The sequence below is a fragment of the Homo sapiens genome, chromosome 15, assembly GCF_000001405.40.
Source record: "Homo sapiens chromosome 15, GRCh38.p14 Primary Assembly".
NCBI classification, from domain to species: Eukaryota; Metazoa; Chordata; class Mammalia; order Primates; family Hominidae; genus Homo; species Homo sapiens.
The window spans coordinates 25,023,727-25,047,182 of NC_000015.10; the positions used below are offsets into that span (position 1 = coordinate 25,023,727).

At 35.8% G+C, this 23,456-nt stretch overlaps 2 long non-coding RNA genes and 1 other non-coding gene across 3 annotated transcripts in view; all 3 read left to right on the forward strand.

Moving 5' to 3' along the window:
• SNHG14 (small nucleolar RNA host gene 14) overlaps nt 1-23,456 on the forward strand; it is a 595,855-nt gene that overhangs the window by 200,119 nt on the left and 372,280 nt on the right. The window lies entirely within an intron of this gene.
• On the forward strand, nt 8,147-12,764 carry PWAR6 (Prader Willi/Angelman region RNA 6). The gene has a single exon (NR_146168.1). It is a non-coding gene; the product is annotated as a Prader Willi/Angelman region RNA 6 (long non-coding RNA).
• Nucleotides 18,248-18,314, forward strand: SNORD109A (small nucleolar RNA, C/D box 109A). Its single transcript, NR_001295.1, has one exon. It is a non-coding gene; the product is annotated as a small nucleolar RNA, C/D box 109A (small nucleolar RNA).

Sequence of the window (23,456 nt, forward strand, 5' to 3'; positions counted from 1 at the left end):
TTATCTTCCTGTAACCCAAAACACTTCAACATCTACTTTCTAAGAGCCTGAGCATCTTATATTGACTTCGGTAAAAATTTCAAAATAATGAAATGTGTCAATAGTATAAAAGTATAACAGTATGCAGTCCATATTCACATTTTACCCATTTTTCCAGAGGTGTTCTTTATAGCAGTTTCTTCCCTTCTACAACATCCAGAAAAGGATCTTCTATTGCATTCAATTATCATGTCTCTTTAGTTTTGTTTAATCTGAAACAGTTTCCTGGACTTTGATCACATCAGTGTTCTTAAAAAGTAATAGCTAACAGATTTAAGGAGATACCTCAGATTTTGAATTTTGTGTTTCCTCATGAAAAGGTTTAAGATACTCATTTTGAGCAGAAATAATTCAGTATTCTCAGTCTTCCTTAGTGAATCATCTCAGGTGACAAATAATGTCACTTTGTCTCACTTTGAATTACTTTGATCTCTTGGTTCGATTGGTGTCCACTGGACTTTTCCACTATAGTTAACATTCCTTCATAATTAATTTGGAACTATACAGGTATTCTATTTTTCATCAAACTTCCACATAGTAGGTTTAATATGCACAGGTGACTTTTACCTGAATCAGTGTTGATTAGAAAAAAATCTGTTATTGCTTAGATGCATTATTTAGTATCTTGTACTGTAAGGAAGAGTTTGTATATCATGGCCTGTCAGAACAGTCCCGCAATGTGTTTTATGAACTGAAAATTCTGAAAGAATAAGGTAGTGATTTATATGAGAATACAGGGAAAGGGTTACCCAAAGAGTCTAATGAATTTATGTCTAAACCATAGAGTGGAATGTGAGAGACACACAGAACTCCAGAGTTGTGATGCAAATACACTGCACAGTGGAAGGAGAAGAGGAAGTTTTTGGTAATAGTGTTTCATCTAATGTAGCTCTGTAATGTATGTGTGCCTTCATTATTGGAAGAGTGTTCAACAGTTCACAGTTGAATAGACTGAAGCATGATGCTGGAATCTGGGTTCAGATTCTAGATCCGTATCCTACATATCACCAATGCTTGTTTCTCAATTTTTGTTTGTCATTACTTTAAGTCTCTTTAATGCATTAGAGTATCCAAGGTTGACAGTGAAGGGACTGCATTTGGGAGCTATCTGAAGACAAAAACAGCTTTTTGAAGTTTCTTTCATACGTCACCTTACATGGCCTCTCGCATTCTCTGTGGAGAAGTTTGTGTAGATTATTCAGACTACCGTGCAGTGACTGTGTTGTTTAAAACCTATACATATCCAAACTCTGTTTTGTGTTCTCTATAACTAGGGCATTAGTCTCCCAATAGTAATCCTGCATCTTATGCTATTTAAAGAAGGTTCCCAGAATACAGACATTCTTACTTTTGAACAATGACTTGGGTAGATTGAGGAAGTGGTTTTAATAATCACTTTGATATATTTCAAAATCTGGTTCATTATTGGTGAGGTGCAGGCCACCTGGTATTAATGAAAATGTGTAATTAGGAACCAGTGCAGTGGAATCAGAGGCTTGAACATGACCTAAGGCTTGGTCAAAAGTGGTGATCTGAATGTTCCCTGCTCTCTGTATGTAACTTTGTACTTAGTCTTCAGTGGCAGGGTTGCAGCAGAGGCCCAGTAAATATTGTTCATTCAACGTATGAAGGAGAAAATGGAAGTAAGGCCAAAAATTACTGATTGTAAACAAATGAAGCACCAAGTGAATAAATGTACAAATAGACAAGTAGCCAGTAGGAAAAAAAACAATAATTGTTACCTAAAGAATGAAAACCAAGTGGAAAAGGCCGCCAGGGACATTTTAATATGCATATTGTTGCTTTCACATATAATACAGTAAGGGAGTATCAGAAAACCTGAATCTGCCTGACTAAAACATACCCTGTTCCACAAAGCTATATATATGAGAGTATTGAAGGTGGTTTAATACCAAATTCAAAAATTCAGCCTCAGTGTAGCAAACTTTTAAATTTTCCATGATATAAAGTAAGTTTTAACCAACAATGGAAGTCACAGCACTAAAGTACATTACTATTATATGATTCTCTGATGGTAATAGAAACTGTGCTGCAGGACACGTTTTGATTCAGGAAGAAATGTGGAGTAACTCCACAGAGGAATTCATCCTTTCTAAGTTTAAATCTGAACGGAACCCATATGCCCATACCCTGAAGATGCATGTAAGGGAACAACATGGCTTGGTCTGTTGAAAAAAGAAAAGAACCTTCAATTAAGCATTCTGTGAACTTGATAAGAGGATGCAGAGGAACGTAAATGCACTCTGCATATCTGTGATTGACCTTGGAACACAGTGATTGCCCTCTAAAGAATAGCCGAGTAAGTACTGTTATCATTCCACCGATCAAATTAGAGCCTCTTCCTTCCAGTGGGAGCAGAGTGACATAGACCAAGGAAAGCCGAGGAGAAGATTGTAGCCTTTTATTTCTCCTTATATTTGTTGAGGTTCACTGCTGACTGATAAACGATTTGCACAAAAAAATTCAGGCCTCTGACTCTTCTGGTATTTGATTTATCTAGTAAAGTTAATTCCAAGACAAAAGTACAGTTGGTTAAAAATACCAGTCTCATGTTTATTTGATGGTTTGAAATATTCTGTTACATTGTTGTATCTCGTTTGTCACCTTGGAATATATGACAATCATGTTATCTTGATTTTTTCCACAAGATAATTTGATTCTAAAATCGATTCATTGTTTATCTTCAGGAATTAGAGATTTTAAAAATGTCATCTCATGTCTCATTCAGTCATTTCCAAGATTTAGCGAGTGTTCTCCCTAATGCCTTGGATAAGAATGCCTTGTTCAATGGCTGTATTTTACTCATAATTAGCATTCCAACTGCTTTGGGTTTTTTTAGATTTACAATTTTTATTTCTGCAGTACTTAACTTTCTATATTTTATGTATATTAAAACAAGTTAGGTAGGATGAAGATCACTGGATGATATAAATACTAATAGCAAAAGTAGAAATAAGTTGTATTATATAAGTTGTACATAGGTGTTACATTAGGTTGTCTTACATGAAAGTATTACAAAGTATGGGATTTGGGGTGTATTTTGAAATCCTTGCCAGTTCTACTTGATAAAGTATTGAATGGTATCATGTGAGAGGAGAAGAGGACGGAAACAGGACTTATGATTTAGACCTCAACAACTGCTAGGGAGGGTTGGTTTTCTCTGAGTGCATGATTTTTTATAAAAATGCTATTTTGCCAGTTTTAGATCCATATTAAACCCACAGATTAAGGTTTTGGTTTTTAAAGTGTAAATAGGAAGCTTGAGCTGGGGGGGAATTTGGAGGTAGAGATAATACTTAATCGCTGTGGGAAAGGATGAGATCTAGAGATAGAGTGTATGTGGGAGTAGGAACATATGTGTCTGAGACCATGCTTTGGATGCTCTAGCATTTAGATATTGAGAAAATGAGGAAGACCCATTAAAGGAGATTGTGGCTAGAGTTACTGGTGAAAACCAAAGGGTTGTAGTGTTCCTGAAGATACATGAAGAGTGAGATTAAAAATTAATGGGGCAGCAGTGGCTTTTGCATGGCATTGAAAAGACACAGTTCAATTTGAAAATTGAGTATCATTAATCGTAGTGCTCTTATTATTGAAAAGGCCAAATCAAACAATACCTTTGAGTTGATGGTCTGTACTATAATTAGGTTACCATTGTTAGCCCAGCATAGACACATGCTGATACCTGTGAGTTGCTTTCATCAATTAGTATGTGAAGATGCATCCCAGTTGTACAATTTTAGATCCTCTTCATCATTCCACATTATATGTATACAAGATAAAACTTGATGTTTTCATTACATCCTTTCAATCTTCTAACAGCAGTCCTTACGTAGCTTTATCATTGGAGTTTCCACTTGCAGTGTCTCTATCTGTACCTGCATTCATTGGCCACGGTAGAGTTTTCATTACGGCAGGATTGCATTTCATTGTTTTGGCTTGTGTCAGACATTTAGCAAAGATTGTTGAGGAAAGGAATGGATGGAAGGGGCCAGCTGAAAGAAAAAGTAACAACCTAATGATGGATAAGTGAAAAAGGAATGAAGAAAGGATGGTGCTAGGAATCGAGGGAGTAAAGCAAGATAGAATGTACAAAAGGTCGAATTTTTAAAGAAAGTTGTAGGGCAAGGGCAAGGTGTGTTGAACCTACATTTAAAATACAATAACATCACTAAAGTCGAGGCCGGGTGTGGTGGCTCACCCCTGTAATCCCAGCACTTTGGGAGGCCAAGGCAGGCAGATTACCTGAGGTCAGAAGTTTGAGACCATCCTGGCCAACATGGTAAAACCCCATCTCTACTAAAAATACAAAAATTAGCTGGGCGTGGTGGCGGGCGCCTGTAATCCCAGTTACTTGGGAGGCTGAGGCAGGAGAATCACTTGAACCTGGGAGGCGGAGGCTGCAGTGAGCCAAGATCATGTCACTGTACTCCAGCCTGGGCGACAAGAATGAAACTCTGTCTCAAAAAAAAAAAAAACCCATCACTAAAATCAGGGAGAAAAAAACCATCACTAAAGTCAGGGATAAAGTACCATTGTGGAAGGTGTTCTTTTCCAGCTTAACCTGAAGAATTGTACAGTCATTGTACATTGTCATTCCCTAACTAATGGGTTAGATATGAGTCTGTAGAAAATTGTTTGTCCAACATACTTTATGCCTCTTAACATTTCACTTACCAAATTTCATTTCATTCCTTCATTTTGTGTCTAACAGACTAGAAATAATGAGCTCCTATTGACAGGGATATTTTCCTCTTCATACTTTCCTTTACCTTACAGAGCCTTTTATGTAGCAGATATTTAATTTCATAATGGGTCTAAACTACTTGTTTAGACCATGGATGAGTGAAATTTTGATGAATGAGCCCCAATCACCTGAAGGGTGAGTAAAAGAAGAATTTCTAGAGACCCAATATGAAGTAGCTGCTTCACACTTTTTTGAGAATGTTATGGCATGACTGAGGAAATCATAGATGCTGTAGACCATGTTGAGTTGGATTGTGTAAATATAGATTCTGGTATTAGGGAACTCAGCATCTGCTGGATTAGACTTCTTATGGTGAAAGTCTTTTTTTAGGGATTAGGCATAAATCCCCACTGATATTTGTGCAGTAATAGAGTATAGCTCCTGTTTTCTTTCCTGCTTGTATAGCCTGTGCCATTAGTGTCCTCTTTCTCACTGTTTTCTCAAAGGAAAACAGTCAAAGAGGAAGCCATATGCATGGTAGACTTTGTAATCCGGGAAAAGTCAACATATTTCATAGTAGTGCACTTTTTATGTGTTGTCAGTCCTTAGAAAGGATTCATTTTCTCCATATTATATACTACTCTATTTTAAAAATTTCTTGGGGGAGAATGGCTGTAGACAGGCCAATGATAGAATCATAGAATATAGTCACTGTCTAATTACTTTCAATCAAGAGAGGGAACAATAAAGTACAATGTATGTCGCTGACTTCAGTGTGACCACTCAGTATTTCTGTAACACAGTATTTATATTGCTGTACGGTAGAGTTATACTTATTTCTGTGATCCAGTTCATTTGTTTAATATTGGGATTCAAGGAGTGTTGAAGAAATGTCTACTGATTAATAACAGATGGGAAGAGTGTATGTGTTTTAAATAAGAGACCAAGAGAGACAATAAGGAAAATAAGAAGGAAGTGTTTGTGAACCTTTCACATTACTCTTACATTCGGGAAGTCCACAAGACACCGTAGTGGAGATTCTGAGGAGGTGAAAACCTGTAGAAAAATGCTTTATTAGTAAGGAGCTGACTAAGTTGTCAGAAAGTGTTGATTTTTAGAAGGATATTGAGACATTGGGTATATAGGGTATATGACTCCTTGTCTTCCTTTCATTCTGGCTTCTTACCAGCTGTTGTGAATAAGTTTAAGATTTCTTCTGACGTTATAAACTTCAGAAAAGGTATGGCTGTTTGTTCAGTTTGAAGTAGTATCATATCCGCCAAAGCCTTGTTCAATTGTCTTGTTGATTCATGGTTCTCTTCAGTGATAATATTATATGGGATTCCTACCCACAGCCACCCAATATCTCAGTGGAGAAATGCAGGTTTGGAGAGAACATCTGAATAGAATCACGCTAAGATGGTACATTTGCACTGAGACCATTGTTATGTGGCAGGCAGACATGAAGTATCCTAGGATTGATCAGTATGCCTTAATGTAAATAGCTGCATATAGACCTGATTTCTTAGGCTCCCCACTTCAAGCTCTTGAATATTGTGTTGATATCCTTATCAATACACTTTGTCTTGTGTTCTGTGTTGTTTTTCCAAAATATAACGAGCTCCTACTTGACAGGGATTTTTTCTTTCTATTGTCTTACGATAAAATGTCAAGATAAAAATGTATGAGTTTCATTAAAGTTTATTGAATAAAATTTGTGATGGAATGAGTGACAGCGAGGTCATGAATGAGAGAGAATATGGAAATAATGGAGAATGTGATATTCTGATAGTCATGCAATATTCTTTTTGATATAATATGTAACATATATTAGTATGTTATATTCTATGTATTATTTGTCATATATTATTACTATATCCTGTTGCTATATTTGGATAATTTGGGAATCTGCCATGTTTGATGATGTTGAAAAGAGAACATAAAATGTAGTGATTTCTTAATAAGGTGTAGAGGTGTAGGTATTAACTCTTTAAGAATATAGTGATTTATTTTAAAATAATGATAGGAAAGGACCATAAAAATGTCTGAATTTGGGAAATTAGAAAATGTTTTCTCTCTGGGGCTTTCATATGTCTGTTCTATGTGAATGTCGCTTTGCCATGGCTCCCTCTTTGCTAACTCTTCTTAACCCCTGCAGAGAAGGAAGTGTAGTGATGGTATTTTGAGTCCATCTTCAGGTTTATTGGGAATGCAAGGGAAATGAGTTGTTACCAATGGGAGTAAAGGGCTAGTTGCTATGCCAGTAGCTGCTACTTTTGACACTGCTTGAGCAATCTGAATGGCTAGGTTTGAATCTGGCTTCTCAGTCAGAATTTTACCTTCACTCTAATGCTGCTTTTTTTCAAATCACCTATATTTACATAAATATGAACCAACTTCAGTGATCTTAATTCTTTCCCGAAGATCCAAGTTTCTTTCCATCTGCCTGAAGAACTTTCTTTAGCACTTCTGGTATAGCAGACCTACTGATGATAATTTTTCTTTTAGTATATGGTGATTAGTTTACTTTTTATTCAACTGTGTCTTTTTTTGAAGTCTTCTTCATTGAAATATATTGTTACTAAATATAGAATTAATGGCTTTCTTTAAGCACTTCAAAGATAATCCACTGTTTTCTGGACTCCGTTGATACTTAAGTCTTTATTTTTGTGTAATTCTTTTTCTTTAAATGTGCCATTTTTCATTTTTCTCTGACTCCTACCTACTAAGATATTTTTACCTAAGTATTGAGTCAGTTTTGGTTATGATGTGACTCAGTGTGTTTTTATTTATATTGTTTGGTTGTTTGAACTTCTTGAATCTGTAAATGTTGTGCTTTATGTTAAATTTGGGGGGATTTCAGCCATTTAAAATATAACTTTTCAGTCTCTTCCCCCTGGGACTCCAATTTTTACATATGTATTAGACCTATTAATATTTTTCTATGGATACCTGACATTCTTTTTAAATCTTATTTTTGGTGTTTTTCACTTTGAACAACCTAATAATTTGTTTCCATCCATGTTCACTCACTGTTTATTCTATTTTTTCCCAATCTGCTCTTAAGCCTATCCTGTGAATTTTCTTTTTAATTTATTTTATTTTTTAGTTCCAGATATTTTCTGCTTTTTGTTTGTTTTTGAGACAGAATCTTTCTCTGTCACACAGGGTGGAGTGCAGTGTCATGGTTCACCGCAGCCTTGACCTCCTGGTCTCAAGTGATCCTCTCACCTTAACCTACCCACTCCTAAGTAGCTAGAACTACAGGTGCATGCCACCACGCTCAGCTAATTTTTTATTTTTGTAGAGATGGGGTCGTTGTGTTGCCCAAGCTGGTCTTGAACTCCCAGACTCAAGCAGTCTTCCTGCCTCGGCCTCATGCCCGCGCCAACCAGTTCTTTATTTTTAATATTATGTTGTATTTGATGTGCTATCCTATTCATTTAGTATAAGCACATTTTTCTTTATGTCTTCAGCATAATTATATGCTTTTTCAGAATTTTAACATCAGGACTGCTTCCAGGGTAGCTTTATTGCCCTTTGTCTTAAGTATGGATTATAGTTTTCATTCTTTGTATGTCAAGTAATTTTGGATTGTAACTTGAACTTTGAATATACTGTAGAAACTCTGAATTCTATTTTATTCTTCTAAAACAATATTTCTCAGCTTCAGCACTACTGACATTTTGAACTGGGTCATTTTGTTTGTGTTGTTGTGTGTATTTTGGGAGGGTACTGTTCTATATGCATTGTGGGGTACTGAGTATTATCCTTTGTCTCCACTCACTACTTACCAGTAGCATAACTCTCTCTCCTCCCCACATCCCCTGCCAAAAAATGCCTTCAGTCCTTTCTAAGCGCTCTTTTTTATGGTGTTGGGGCCAAAATCATGCATCTTTACTCACTCTTTCTCATTGAGAGCTATGGCTATAAAGGGTAGTGATACTTTTACTTATTTATTTTTAAGGCAAGCAGTTAACTTAGCTGGATTCAAACTCCAGGCTGCCTCGTGTGCTGTGGGAAGCAGCCTACGCTCTATTCAGTTCTTTTCTTTTCATATTGGTTGGGTTACTTTGAGTCTGGCCTACATGATGGGCAGTTTAGAGGTCAACCAAAGGATTTCAGCAGAACTTATACACAGAATTTCATTCAGGCTTCCCGTGTCTGATTGGCTACAGTGTGGGAATTTCCTCCCACTTTTCAGCCACTACTGAGGATGCCTTTCGGCAAAATTCCTTGAAATTGGAAACTTACAGGGAAATTCCTTTCCTCCAAGAGTGCGCTCTCCTCCAGTGTTGGCTTGCTTTTGGTTGTTCTCCGTGGTTTTAGATAGCTGTCTTTATATTAATTCTGGAGTTTACAGTTGATATCTGTTGGGGGCTTAGTTTGATAACATGTATTCTTCTATTACTAGTAGCCAGACCTGTATGTCTTACTTGACCTGATGGAGAAAAGTTTCAACTTATGAGACAATACTGTGCTAGCTAGTTTTACTGATTTGTACTCTAAAGTACCCAAGCCTAAAATAGTAGAGCTGTCTATCCCACATGAAACTTCTCTGATTTTCACTGTTTTTTATAAAAAGTATACATGTTCACATTTCTGTAGGTTTTTTTAAGCATCACAATTTTTATAAACTTTCTATATTTCCAAGGTCTACCTGCTTTGTATTTTGCCTAGTGAGAGTTTTGTATTCATGTAGGAATAATCTCTTGGTGTGAGTATCTATTTTCCACTCATCCAAAACAGATAGAGCATTGATTTCACTAAGCGTTATGTTCTAGTTTGCTTTGGTATTATTATTAGAAATACCTGGTGATTAATTTGAGCTAAGTATTCTTCTCTACCCTCATTCCCAGCATTATCACCCGCTTTTACCACTTCCAAGGGGTGGAAGCATTCTCCACAATGCATTTTTTCATGCCAGAGAAAAATCTAGAAAAAAATGAATAAAACGAAGAAATTCTTTCCCCTTGGTATCTGTAGCTAACTTGCCTAAGTGTTCTTTCCCACAGTTTAAGTCTTCAGTCCATAGTTCATAAGCAAAGGGGTGTAGCGAGCTCTGATCTTGCCAGAAGAGAGAATAAGTGAGCTACCCCACGGTGGACATTCTGGCCATCTGAAATGAGTCGATGCATGTGGCTTTTGTCTAAAGGCTACAAATAAAATGTAACCACTTTCTTCTTTGAGTAGTTGATATAGCAAATAGTTGAAACAGAAGTTTTGATTGGCAAATCAGGATGTGGTAGATACTTTAACAAAGAGTAGAACTATTACCAGTTTTATGTGTTGCTGTTTGTATCTCTTTCACAGTTTTGATAATATCACATCCTGGAAAGTGAAACAGAAAATTATTATTCCATTTTAAATGACTAAATTTGCTTTCATGGTATTTACAGTGAAAGAGTAAATTAGAAAGTGAATGGATGACTGTTCATGAGAAAAAGCAGGGTAAAAAGATTTTATTTAATTAATTGAAAATATTAGGGTCAAAACATAGGCTTATGTTATGTTTTGTGAATTGTGCTGTGTTGTAGACATTTGATGAGTCCTAACATAGAATTGATCTAGCTCTTGAAATACCATTTTTGATTGAGTATAAATGGGATATAGGCACCTTACAACTTCAGAATTCGAGGAAGATGATGTGAATCTTCCAATTTTATCTATTTGATTCAAATGGTATGTTTTTTCACATTTCTCATAATTTCCACGTCAACTCCCATGATGATCATGCAGGAAAGCAGCATGATTGCACTTCTTGTAGTGCATACCATCACTAAAACATAGTTACTGTCTTTCTGTGGTCTTAAGAAAAATTCAGAAACAGCATACCAATGTACATATAAGATAAATAAGCTTATGTGGTACAGTAAGTGTTCTGTTCTGAGAAATACCTTGATTCGTATCCTAATGTCTGATGTTATTGGTAGTTCTCAAACTTCCCCAATTCTGCTTTCATCTAAATTCATCTTATCTATCTATTGTTAAATAATCTATCAGTCCATTTTTATCTATCATCTATATATCTGTCTTTATCAATCATTCGTCTGTAATCTATCTGTGCCGTTTGGCATAAGAGACAGAAGGGCATAGCAGTGGAAACTCAAAGGAGTTACCTCCATGTGAATGGACAGTGGTGATGGTGATCTGTGAGGTGGTGATGTATAGAAAGAAAAACTAGAAGAGAGCATGCCCTAACTCAGGGACCTTGTCCAGCAGGCACTCTGGCCTTGTTATACTGTGCTTGAATATGAAAAAAAAAAAAATCAAAATAGTGCTGACATTCTTTGTCTTCTGGGTCTGAGAAAACTTAGAGTAGATATGATGACTCTGCCATTTCAGTCTTTTGTATTTCCACATTTAGAGCTCAGTTTTAATTATGTAGAATTATTTCTCCAGCCTGTGTTAAACTAGACCATGGATTGGCAAACTTTTTTTGTAAATTGCCAAATACACATTTTCAGTTCTGAAAGCCTTGTGGTCTTTGTTGCAGCTAATCTACTCTGCTGTTGTGTTATGAAAGCAGCCATAGGTAATTTATAATTGAATGAGTGCGCTGTGCCTTTCTTCCAATAAAACTTTACAAAAGCATCCTGTGGGCTGGAGTTTACCCTTTGGGAAACCAGAGCATTGGCTAAACTGGAACCTGAAAAAATAATCACATCAACTCAGCCACATGGTAATAATATTTAGAGTATTATTTCAACATTTTCATTTTCATAAAAATTTTTTTAGCTCTTTTGCCAAATTCCATCTGTGAGTGATACAAATGACTACCACGTGCCATTAACATCACCTAAACAGTGCAAAACAAGCATAGTAGAAGTAATTGGAATGATATAAACCCCTTGCTGTAATAGTTATAGTTGATAAATTATGTTTCAAAATTGAACCTATTTCTTCCAAATTTCATCTATAAAGTTCCAAGGAGTTCCAAAATCTTGCCTGCCTTCTTTTCCCAGTTAGCAGTATTGTCTCTGAGCAGCCATGGTGGTATCCATCCTCCTTGGACAATGAATTTAGCCTATTTTGACTTCATTTGAGCAGTTGTAATTGTTTCACCACATCAGAGTAAGATTACTACATGCCAGAGCTATTCTTTAACTCAGCTTGTAAAAACATGATAGCATCAACAATATACATAGCAAATGAATGCCATCTTTAATCCAATTAAATGGTTTTTACAAATTTGCTCTTGTTTGTTGATGCTATCTGCATTGCAGTAATTAAAGGTGAGGTAAAAAGAATGAATAAACTGCCAAGTTAAAATTAAATTTGGGCAATTTCTCTTTTGCAGTAATGTATGTATATTTACTCAAAACATATGCCAAATTTAGTGTTGAAAGGCTCATTCAAATCAATTGGGAAAGCACGTAAATGAACAATTCATAAAAGAAAAGCATTGCAAATGGCCAAGAGCATAGAAAATGTGCTCAATCTTACCAGTCATTATAAGGAAATAATGAAATTTGTGTATATATGAAATACTTAAAATATATATAAAATAAAACAATTATTTGCCTTTTTTCACCTATCAGATTAACAGATTATATGTGTTAACAAGGTGGGGAGAATTTACAACTCCTGATATGTTAAAATCTTTCAGGAAGGTAGTAGAAAATATATGTAAGATGGAAATTAGCACTTTTGACCAACAATTTTAGTTTTAGATATTTACCTATAAGGATATAATAGGAGGTGTTCAAAGATGCATGTAACTCAATGTAGTATTAATTATAATTGTAAAATAGTAAATAACATTTTTGTCAAATCATAATGTTAGGAAAATTAGTGATGGCACATTTAACCAATTGAATTATATTCAGTTCTGAATACCGTGATGCATGTTCAAATTAATTGATACAAAAATCCAACAACTTTAGCAGTTTGTTTACCAGTTATTGAGTACCAACTGTGTTCAACATTGTTATTTCACTCATATGAAATGATAAATGTATGTGCGTGTTATGATACGGTCAATAAAACCACTTTTATAGGAAGAATACTCACAAAATACAGCGAGTTCTGGTCATTATTTTATTGTTGCATTTGTGTGTTTGTGTGTTTTGAATACATACATGTATTTCAATTAACTATAGCATTTATTGAATTTTTATCACATGTACCAGATGGGGAGATCAACACTTTACATGAATTATAAGTTATAATATAATAACTTATATAATGTTATTATATAATAACTTATTATTATAATAACAGATGGAATAACGAATTTGTCTTTTTAAAAGATAAGTAAATTGAGGTTGAGTTTGAATTTTGTAATTCATTCTATTATATAGAAGTTAAATAAACCTATCCTAGGATGTCACAACCTTTGGATAATAATAATTAAAAATACTTATGATTTATTAAACCCATTGAGCAAAATCATGTTTTGTGAAAGAACCCACATTTCAGAAGTCATATTCATTCTTCTTTTGTCTTTAAGGCCAGAGACATGATAATTATTAAGTGCAGCTTCTCAGGACAGAAAGTGTAAGTGTTGGTATATTGTAGGAACAGGAGAAAAACATGAATAGGAACTTGTCTTTTGGAAATTCTTACAGTATAAACCTTTAAGGAGTTACTTCTAGAAATATGGGGTGCCTTTGCTCAGGATGTGGAACAACATGTTCCCGGGCAGAAACCATATTATACACAAAGCTCTGAGACATCATGGAGGCACAGATGAAAGTCCAAAGAGAAATGGCCAGTAGAAAGAGGATCACTAAATGGAAGAAGCTAACTTTGGAATAGAGCTGGTGACAGGTAATATGATGACTTAAATGCTGCCAATAGCAGGGAAAAGGTCCATGGTAATATCTGAGTGAAGAAACAATTGCCAACTGATCTAGATTTGAAGGGCATAACCTCTTGGAATATTTTTCCAGTGTAATTTGTGATCATATGGTCTGGATTCTACAAAATCTCCCCCATTCTACAAAATCTATAATCAGTTCTCTTCCATTTTCTTCATTCATTCTAACCCTTTTCTAAAGACGGCACTTTGTGTCTTGTGAATGCAATCCCTTAGCAGTTCTCAGCTAGTAGCTGAAACTTTGGTTAAAATGGTAAGCATGGGGGATTGTGACATAAATTTTGCTTTGCTATGGCAGTTATTGAAATATTTTTATAATTTTGACTATTTGTCATGTAAGGAATGCACAGTGCCATTCTAACTGTGTATATTCTGGTATTTGGGGGGTTGGAAATTGACTATATGAGATTCTTGCAGCTGGGTCTCTGACATGTTGAGAATGCTGAAGAAGAAAAAGTACAGAAGGAGAAAGCAGAGATGGGGAAAGCTGCATCCCTCAAATAGGATACCACTGGATACTGAGCAGTGAACAACCTCTGGTTTTGTCGGACACCATTTTGGAATATTTGGACACAGTTTCCGGAAGGATGAGAGACCTAATCAATGGTAGTAAGATGTTTAAAATATTATTAATACGAATGAATGCTTAGGCAAGGTTGACGGTAAAGCTCTTCTGTACAATAGGTAGCGTTAATAAAGAAATGACAAGATTTGGAAAATCAGTATTTGGAAATAATCATAATTGTTTCAGCCAGGAATCATCAAATGATGCTAAAACTTGGAGAAAATTTTAAGAGAAACAGGACATTTGGTGTCCTTATCAGTTACAAAGGGAAAGTAGTAGCTTCCTGATGGAGAACATGGTTGACAGCACCTGAATTAAAGAGGTGAAAGTTAATACCACAGTAGTGGGAACATCAGGCAGCGCTGATAGGATGCACTGAGAAGAACACAGTCTCATTTCTGTAGTATTACTGACTAAACTGCAGAAACCTGAGTCTACCCATGAGGAAACATCAGTCTCAAATTGACTGATATTTTGCTTTTAGTATTCAAACATACTAATTTCACTGAGGAAATGGTCCAGATTATTTCAGACTATATAGACATGAGAATGGAATATCACATTGGTTCAGGATGTCTATAAAAGGATAAGGAAGGTTGGCAAAATTTGAAGACAGTCCCTCAAGTAGATTATAGTGTTACGTGAGTATTAATTGCCTAAGTTATATAATTGCCTGAGGTTATATAACAGAAAATTCTTGTTTTTAAGAAATTAAAACAATTTAAAGGATAAAGGGATAATGTCATAGCTGTAATTTTCCAAGCATTTGGATAAAATAATATACATGTTTCAAAAAAAAAATGAAACAGATGTTGTAAGATGTTAGCAAATAGGGAATCCAGGTGGAAATAATCCAGGAATTATGGATAGTCTTGTATCTGTTCAGCAGGTCTGAAAGTAGTTGATGAAAATAATGCAAAAGAACATGTCAAAAAGAAATGGTTTGGGCATATGGCTTCAAGCATACATAAATGCTCAGGAAACATGAAAATGTGAAATAAATGGATGAGTACTATAATACCAGCAGGCCTTGTAGATACCTGCATTTGAAGCATTTATATTAGAAGGAAGCCTTTTTACCCAGAATTTTTTTCACTTAGCCTAATGTTTTCAAGGTTTGGCCATGTTGCAGCATATATCAGATCTCCATTTTTTTTGATGGAGGAGTGATATTCTATTGTATAAATATATCACATTTTGCTCATCCACTCACTAGTTTTTGGCTATTATGACTAATCCCGCCAGGAATATTTATGTGGAGGTTTTTGTGTGTTTATGTTTTCAATTCTATTATACATGAGAATATAGTAACTGTGTTTATTTGACATTTTGAGGACCTGTCTGTAAGTGATGTTTAAGATAATTTTTGTTACATTTGAAGGCAGATAATAGTCTATGCAAAATGAATATTCTGTTGAATATTGATGTGAACTATTCTTATTGTAAAAAAAAAGTTACATTGAAATAGTAAGTATAGAAGTTATATCTTGGTGGCGGGGCGTGGTGGCTCATGCCTGTAATCCCAGCACTTTGGGAGGCCGAGGCAGGTGGATCACAGGGTCAGGAGATCGAGACCATCCTGGCTAACATGATGAAACCCCATCTTTACTAAAAATACAAAAAATTAGCTGTGCGTGGTGATGAGCGCCTGTAGTCCCAGCTACTCAGGAGGCTGAGGCAGGAGAATCACTTGAACCCAGGAGGCGGAGCTTGCAGTGAGCTGAGATTGTGCCACTGTACTCCAGCCTGGGTGACAGAGCGAGACTCTGTTTCACCCAAAAAAAAAAAAAAAAAAAAAAAAAAGTATTGGTTTTTGTACTCAACAAGCAGTTTTATGTTTTTATTTTTCAGGAACTCTCCAATACTGAATTCAGGCTGGGATATTAGAGAAAAGGAAAATACATGAAACTCAGTGGTGTTTTATGGCACTTTGAGTTCCCCAATTCACCTTCAAACATTTAGCCTTCCAAGTTCTCTGCCACCGTATCAGTGCATCCCTCCTGAGATTCTTAATTCTTTGATTGTGTAAAGATGGACTATGCTTACTCCATCTTACTTCTCTTAGGTCTTACAATGGAAGTGCCCTATTACATTTTGTTCTTTTCTATGATTTCCAATTATTTTATGAAATTTTTCATTTATTTTTTCTGTTCTTTCTATCTTTAATTTCTATGTAACTTTTTGAAATAGATCTCAAAGATTTTATATATATATATATATATATATATACACACACACACAGAGAGAGAGATATATATCTACTGTACTATTGAAGTAGATTCCTAAAGTTTTTATCTCTTCTAGAATATTGGTTTCACAACACCCCTATTATGTGTATTTAATTTTACCCACCACATGGCGTTTTCAAAAAGTCTTTATTTGGCGGAATACAACTTCAGAATCTGATTCGAAGAGAAAATTGCTCACAGCCGTGAGCCACTGTGCCTGGCCGATTTTTACTATTTAAAGAAGGAAGAATTTTAGCAGCGTGGGGTGGCTCATGCCTGTAATCCCAGCACTTTGGGAGGCTGAGGTGGGCGGATCACTTGAGGCCAGTAGTTCAAGAACAGCCTGGCCAACATGACGAAACCCCATCTCTACTAAAAATACAAAAATTAGCCAGGCGTGGTGGCACGTGCCTGTAGTCCCAGCTACTCGAAGGCTTAGGCAGGAGAATCGCTTGAATCAGAGACAGGGAGGCTGCAATGAGCCGAGATTGCACCACTGCACTCCAGCCTGGGCGACAGTGCAAGACTCCATCTCAAAAATAAAGAGGAATTGGAGGAGGAAATAAATGAATAAATGACAAAGGTGACAAAGGACCAAAGATCTGTGACTTGTGCAAAGATTGCTCTGTGGTAATTATTACAGAAACAATGTTTGTATCTTATTTTTTAGGGAATTTTGTATATTGTCTAATCTGATTTACTTTGTTTTTAATAGTTTGCTGCAGGTCTAGAAGATGTCACAGAATTTCAAGGAAGAGAGGTGAGCAGCTGCTGTGGTGATTTTGAAATTGTTTGTGTGTGTTGTGGCCAGTGATGTCAGAATTTCAGGATCTGAGAGTTCATGATTTTAGAGGCTCAAAGGAGAATATTTTTATAACTTTTTTCTATAATTTTTTTATAATTTTTTTATATATTTTTTATAATATTTTATAATTTTTTTTGCTATGTGAGTATCCCTACTTTGTTCAAGGAATCTCATTATCTTTTCCCTTTTTTTAAAAAGGGATTTTTTTGTAGTAACCTGAATAAATTGGGGGAAGTATTGATATATTTCCTTTTCTCACCATTTTTTGTTGGATGAAAATAATCTTTTAGTGAAATTCAGTGTATTAAATATTTATTTTTTAAAGTCTAGAGATGGGGTCATGCTGTGTTTCCCAGGCTGCCCTTGAACTCCTGGGCTCAAGCAATCATCTTGCCTCAACCTCCTGAGTAGCTGGGACTACAGGCATGTGCTGCCATGCCTGGCTTAAATATTTAAAAAATTTTATCTGGCACATTCTGAACACAGATGTTTCTACTTATATTTGTCATGTAGTCACAGTATATATTGATTTTGCTACCTCGCCTACTCCTAAAAGTTTTAATTCATTTAATTGGTCTTAATTGGACTTAAAAATTTTTTCCCTGGCCGGGCGCCTTGGCTCACGCCTGTAATCCCAGCACTTTGGGAAGCCGAGGCAGGCGTTTGAGACCAGCCTGACCAACATGGAGAAACCCTGTCTCTACTAATAATACAAAATTAGCTGGGTGGGGTGGCACATGCCTGTAATCCCAGCTACTCAGGAGGCTGAGGCAGGAGAATCACTTGAACCCGGGAGGCAGAGGTTGCAGTGAGCTGAAATTGTGCCATTGCACTCCAGCCTGGACAACAAGAGCAAAACTCTGTCTCAAAAAAAAAAAAATTCCCAATAGATTTTAATCTAATTTTATTAGAACAATTCAGTCATATGTTTTTTCATGCTATGTATATGAGAGTTCCATTATTCAGATACTAAACAAATGTCTACTGTACATTTACTCTTCTCACTGATGATGGATTAGATAACCATGCACAAAATAAGCCTGGCTGTGGAAATGCTTATTTGTTGGGAGGGTGCTTGTTTGGATCGATGATGAGAATAATTGTCTGAGGATGCTGAGGGACTCATTCCAGATGTCAATCTGAGGTCCAGATGTGTGGCCCTCCAATAGGACAAATAAGACTCTCAGAGCCTGGCTCTATTTGGGGATCCCTCAGTGACAACATAGTACCTCTGTGAGCGTGCCTTTTCTATCTCTCCGAAGAGGGCATTAGCATCCTGTCTTATGAGTCAGTATGCACTTTAGTATGGTTAGTGACCCAAGACTCACTTTATTTTGTTCATTTTGAGCAGAGAATTGTAGATAGATACATATATGGGAAATATGTTCTTGATTAACAAATGAAAAAATGAAAAAGTTTCAGTCAAGAAAGGTCAAGGAACTGTGATGTATAGTGAAGGCAGGGAACACTGCATGCCTGTATTAAATATTGACAAAGGAACCAATTTTAGTGCTTTGTTATTTTTACTGTTGAGTATTTTCTGAGACCATTTCTTTTTCTTCTATTTTGTTTTGCTGAGGTAGAGGAGGGCTGGAATGAGGTCCTCCACTTCAGAAAATAGGGGTGAGTAGTTAAACCAACATCCTTTGGAATTCATATACGTCATGCGTTCCATGCCACATCCTGAGATCTTTTTGTTGATTTTTTTAGTGGCTTACTGGATAATATCTAAATACTGTATATTTTACTTTGGTGAGTCTCTCCACCTTCATTTCTGAATCATTGTCCTTTACATTTTTATTCTATTTGAATTTTGCATGAAATGACAAATGTAGAATTTTGCCCAATTTATTTTATTTATTCATTTATTTATTTGGGAAGACAAAGTCTCTCTCTGTCACCCAGGCTGGAGTACATTGGCCCAGTCAGAGCTCACTTCAGCTCTTCACCCTGTAGCCCTTAACTCCTGGGCTCAAGTGATCCTCCACCCTCAGCCTCCCAAGTATCTAGGAATACAGGTATGTGTTACCACACATAGCTAATTTTTAAATTTTTTATTTTGTGAAGATAGGATCTTACTGTGTTGCTAAGGCTGGTCTTGAACTACTGGGCTCAAGCAGTCCTCTTGTTTTGGCTTCCCAAAGTGCTAGGATTACAGGCAGGAGCCACCATGCCTGGCATCATTAGGGATATTGGTCTGTGATTCACTTTTGATGATGTCTTTGGTTTTGATAAAAATTAGGGTAATAGTAGACTCATGGAATAAGTTGGGAAATGTTTTCTGCTCTCCTGTTTTTTGGAAGAGTTGTGAAGGATTGATGTTATTTCTTTAATGATTTGGTAGAATTCATCAGAGAAATCATTTGTGTGGAATTTTATTTGTGGAAACTTGAGTAGCTAATTCAATCTCTTGTTAAAGGTGACTTCAATTTTCTGTTTTTCCTTCTTGTGACAGTTCCTGTAATTTATATATTTCTAGGAATGTGCCTATTTAATCTAGGTTATGTAATTTGTTGACATAACTTGTTTATATAAGGGTGTTAGTCTGATTTTCATCCCAGATTTTATGAAAATTGGGTCTTCTGTTTTCAGTAGTGTAGATATAGTTATGTCAATTTTTTAAGAGACAGAGTCTTACTGTGTTGTTTATGCTGGCCTTGAACTTCTGAGCCTAAGCAATCCTGCTACCTCTGCATCTTGAGTAGGTGGGAGTGTGGGAACACACCACCACACCTGGCCTGTCACTAAACAAACAAAAAATTTCAGTGAACCAGCTTTTGATATTTTTATTTTTCTTCTGTATTTTTTATTTTATTTATTGGCATTTTATTCTTATATCTTTTATTCTACTTGATTTAGCTTTGCTTTGTTTTTCTGTTTTCTTAAGGTAAAAGTTTAGATTATTGATTTGAGATTTTCCTTTTTTTAATATGGACATTTACAGCTATAAATTTCCCAAAGAACTCTTTTAGCTACATATATATTTTCTTTTGTTGTGTTTTGTTTCCTTTGATTTCAAACTATTTTATAAATTTTCTTATTTCTCCCAAGAACTCCCAATGATTCTTAGTAATGTGTTAATTTCCATATATTGTGAATTCCCCCCAATTTTTTTCCTTTATTTCTGATATGATTCTATTGTGGTTGGACACCATACTTTTCTGATTTCTTTACTTTCAGATTTGTTGATACCAGTGTGTGGTCTAATACCTACCCTGCACACTGTTCCATGTGCACTTGAAAATAATATATTTTCTACTGGTTAGATTGTTCCATAGATGGATGTTATGTAACTGTTTTATAGTGTTGTTTGTCTTCTATTTCCTTGATCTTCTGTCTCATTGTTATGTTCATCATTGAAAGTGAGGTATTGAAATTTTCAGTTATTATAATGTTTATTTTGCCTTCCATTCTGTCATTTTTAAAATTTAATTTGGGGGTTATGTTGTTGGATGCACGTATCTTTATTATTGTTATATCTTCCTGATGGATTGACAGTTTAATCATCATGAAATGTCCTTTGTCTCTACCAACAATTTTTTTTTTTTTGAGATGGAGTCTCGCTCTGTTGCCCAGGCTGGAGTGCAGTGGCACCATCTCTGCTCACCACAAGCTCCGCCTCCTGGGTTCACACCATTCTCCTGCCTCAGCCTCCCGAGTAGCTGGGATTACAGGCACCTGTCACCACGCCTGGCTAATTTTTTGTATTTTTAGTAGAGACGGGGTTTCACCATGTTAGCCAGGATGGTCTCGATCTCCTGACCTCGTGATCCACCCACCTCGGCCTCCCAAAGTGCTGGGATTACAGGCGTGAGCCACCGTGCCTGGCCCTCTACCAACAATTTTTATCTTGAAATTTATTTAGCCTGATAATTGTAGTTTTTGTCTGACTTATAGCCCATAAACTCTCTCTGGTTACTGTATGCAGTTTATCTTGTCATTATTTTACTATCTACCTATTTTTAATTAAAACAAAATATCTTTGAGACAGGATCTCACTCTCTCACCCATGCTGTAGCGCAATGGCATGATCATAGCTCACTGCAACCTGAAACTCTTGTAATTCAAGCAATTCTTCCACCTCAGCCTCCTGAGTATCTGAAACTACAGGCCAACACCACCACACCTGGCTAATTTTTTTGTATTTTTTTTCTTGTAGAGATGAAATCTTGGTATCTTGCCCAGGATGGTTATTTTCTACCTATTTTTTGTCCTTGAATCTAAAGTGTATCTTTTGTAGAGAGCATATAGTTGTATCATGTGTTTTTTTAAAAAGATACATCTCTGCCTTTTAAGTGGAGAGTTTACTTCATGAACATTTAATGTAATTACTGATAAGGTAAAATTCACATCTGCCATTTTCTATTTTCTTTTATGGCATATATCTGTTTTGTTTTTCTTATTGTTCTTTATGTTAAATAAGTAATAGTGTACTGCTTTAATTTTCTTTTTAATTTTTTGTGTTTACTTATTAGTGGTTGCCTTTGAGATTATAGTTAATTTGTTAATTTATAATATAGCTTAGATTTAATAGTTAATTTTAATAGTACACAGAAACTATTTTTCAATATAGCTCTGTTTTCTCACCCTTCCTTTTGTATATTATTGTCATTCAAACATTTATACCATCTTTTATATTTGCCTAATAATTATTTTACTGGTCCTGTGCATTTCTTCATATGGATCAAAGTTAATGTCTAGTGCTATTTCACTTAAGGCTGAAGTCTCCATTTAATTTTTCTGGTAGGATAGGTATTTTGACAAATTCAGCTTTTGTTGGTTTAGAATGTCATTTCTTTTTTATTTTTGAAGAGTACTTTTGCTGTTTCAAGATCTATGGGTAGACAGTCTTACTTCTTTTTCTTTAAAATAGTTTGAATATGTTATCTTACTGTTTTATGGCTTCAAGAGTTTCTGATGAGAAATCAGCTGTTAGTCTCATTGAGGATTCCTTGTACCTGATGGGTTTGTTTTTCTCTTCATATTTTGAAGACTGGCTTTTGAAATTTTTACTATGACGTCTCCATGTCTTTATGTGTATCTCACTTGAGTGAGTCAAGTTCATTTGACTCATTTTATATGTACATGTATGTTTTTCCCTTACATTAAGGAAATTTTAGGCGTTTGTTCTTCAAACTGTTTCTGCCCTTCTACTGTGACTTTTATGAACATGTTGATATGCTGTGTTCCTCAGTTCTCTGAAGCTGTTTTTCTTTTTTCTTTCTGCTTCACAGAATGGATCTCCTCAACTGTCCTGTATTCAAATTCGATTACCTTTTCCTGCTAGCTCAAATAGTGTGATTAAATTTTTCTAGTGAATTTTTATTATTTATTTCTCTGTATCTTTATTGTCTAGTAATTGATACATTTTTAAAAAATTTAAATTTTAGGTTTAGGAGTACATGTGCAAGTTTGTTATATAGGTAGATTGTGAGTCATGTTGGTTTGGTGTACAGATTATTTCATTACCCAGGTAATAAGCATAGTACCTGATAGGTAGTTTTTTGATCCTCACTCTCCTCCCACCTTCTACCTTCAAGTGCTCCCAGTTACAAGAGAGAATGTATGGCATTTAGTTTACTGTTCCTGCATCAATGTGCTTAGGATTATGGCCTCCAGCTCTATTCATGTTGCTGTAAAGAACATGATTTCATTCTTTTTTCATGGCTACATAGTATTCCAAGGTGAAAATGCTCCATATTTTCTATGTCCAGTCTACCAGTGTGATAGTTAATATTGAGTGTCAACTTGATTGGATTGAAGGATGCACAGTATTGTTCCTGGATGTGTCTCTGTGAAGGTGTTGCCAAAGGAGATTAAAATTTGAGTCAGTGAATTGGGAGAGACAGATTCACCCTCAATCTGGGTGGGCACAATCTAATCAGCTGCACAGTCTCATCAGCTGCTGGTAGAATAAAGCAAGCAGAAGAATATAGAAGGACTAGACTGTCTGAGTCTTCCAGCCTTCATCTTTCACCCATGCTAGATGCTTCCTGCCCTTGAACATTGGACTTCAAGCTCTTGTACTCTTGGACTTACACCAGTTGTTTGCAAGGGGCTCTCAGGCCTTCAGCCCACACTGTTGGCTTCCCGACTTTTGAGGTTTTGGGACTCAGACTAGCTTCCTTGCTCCTCAGCTTGCAGAGGAACTATTATGGGACTTCACCTTGTGATTGTGTGAGTCCATCCTCCTTAATAAACTCCCTTTTATATATACATCTATCCTATTAGTCCTGTCCTTCTGGGAAACCCTGACTAATACAACCAGTCCTGGGTACCTGGGTTGATTG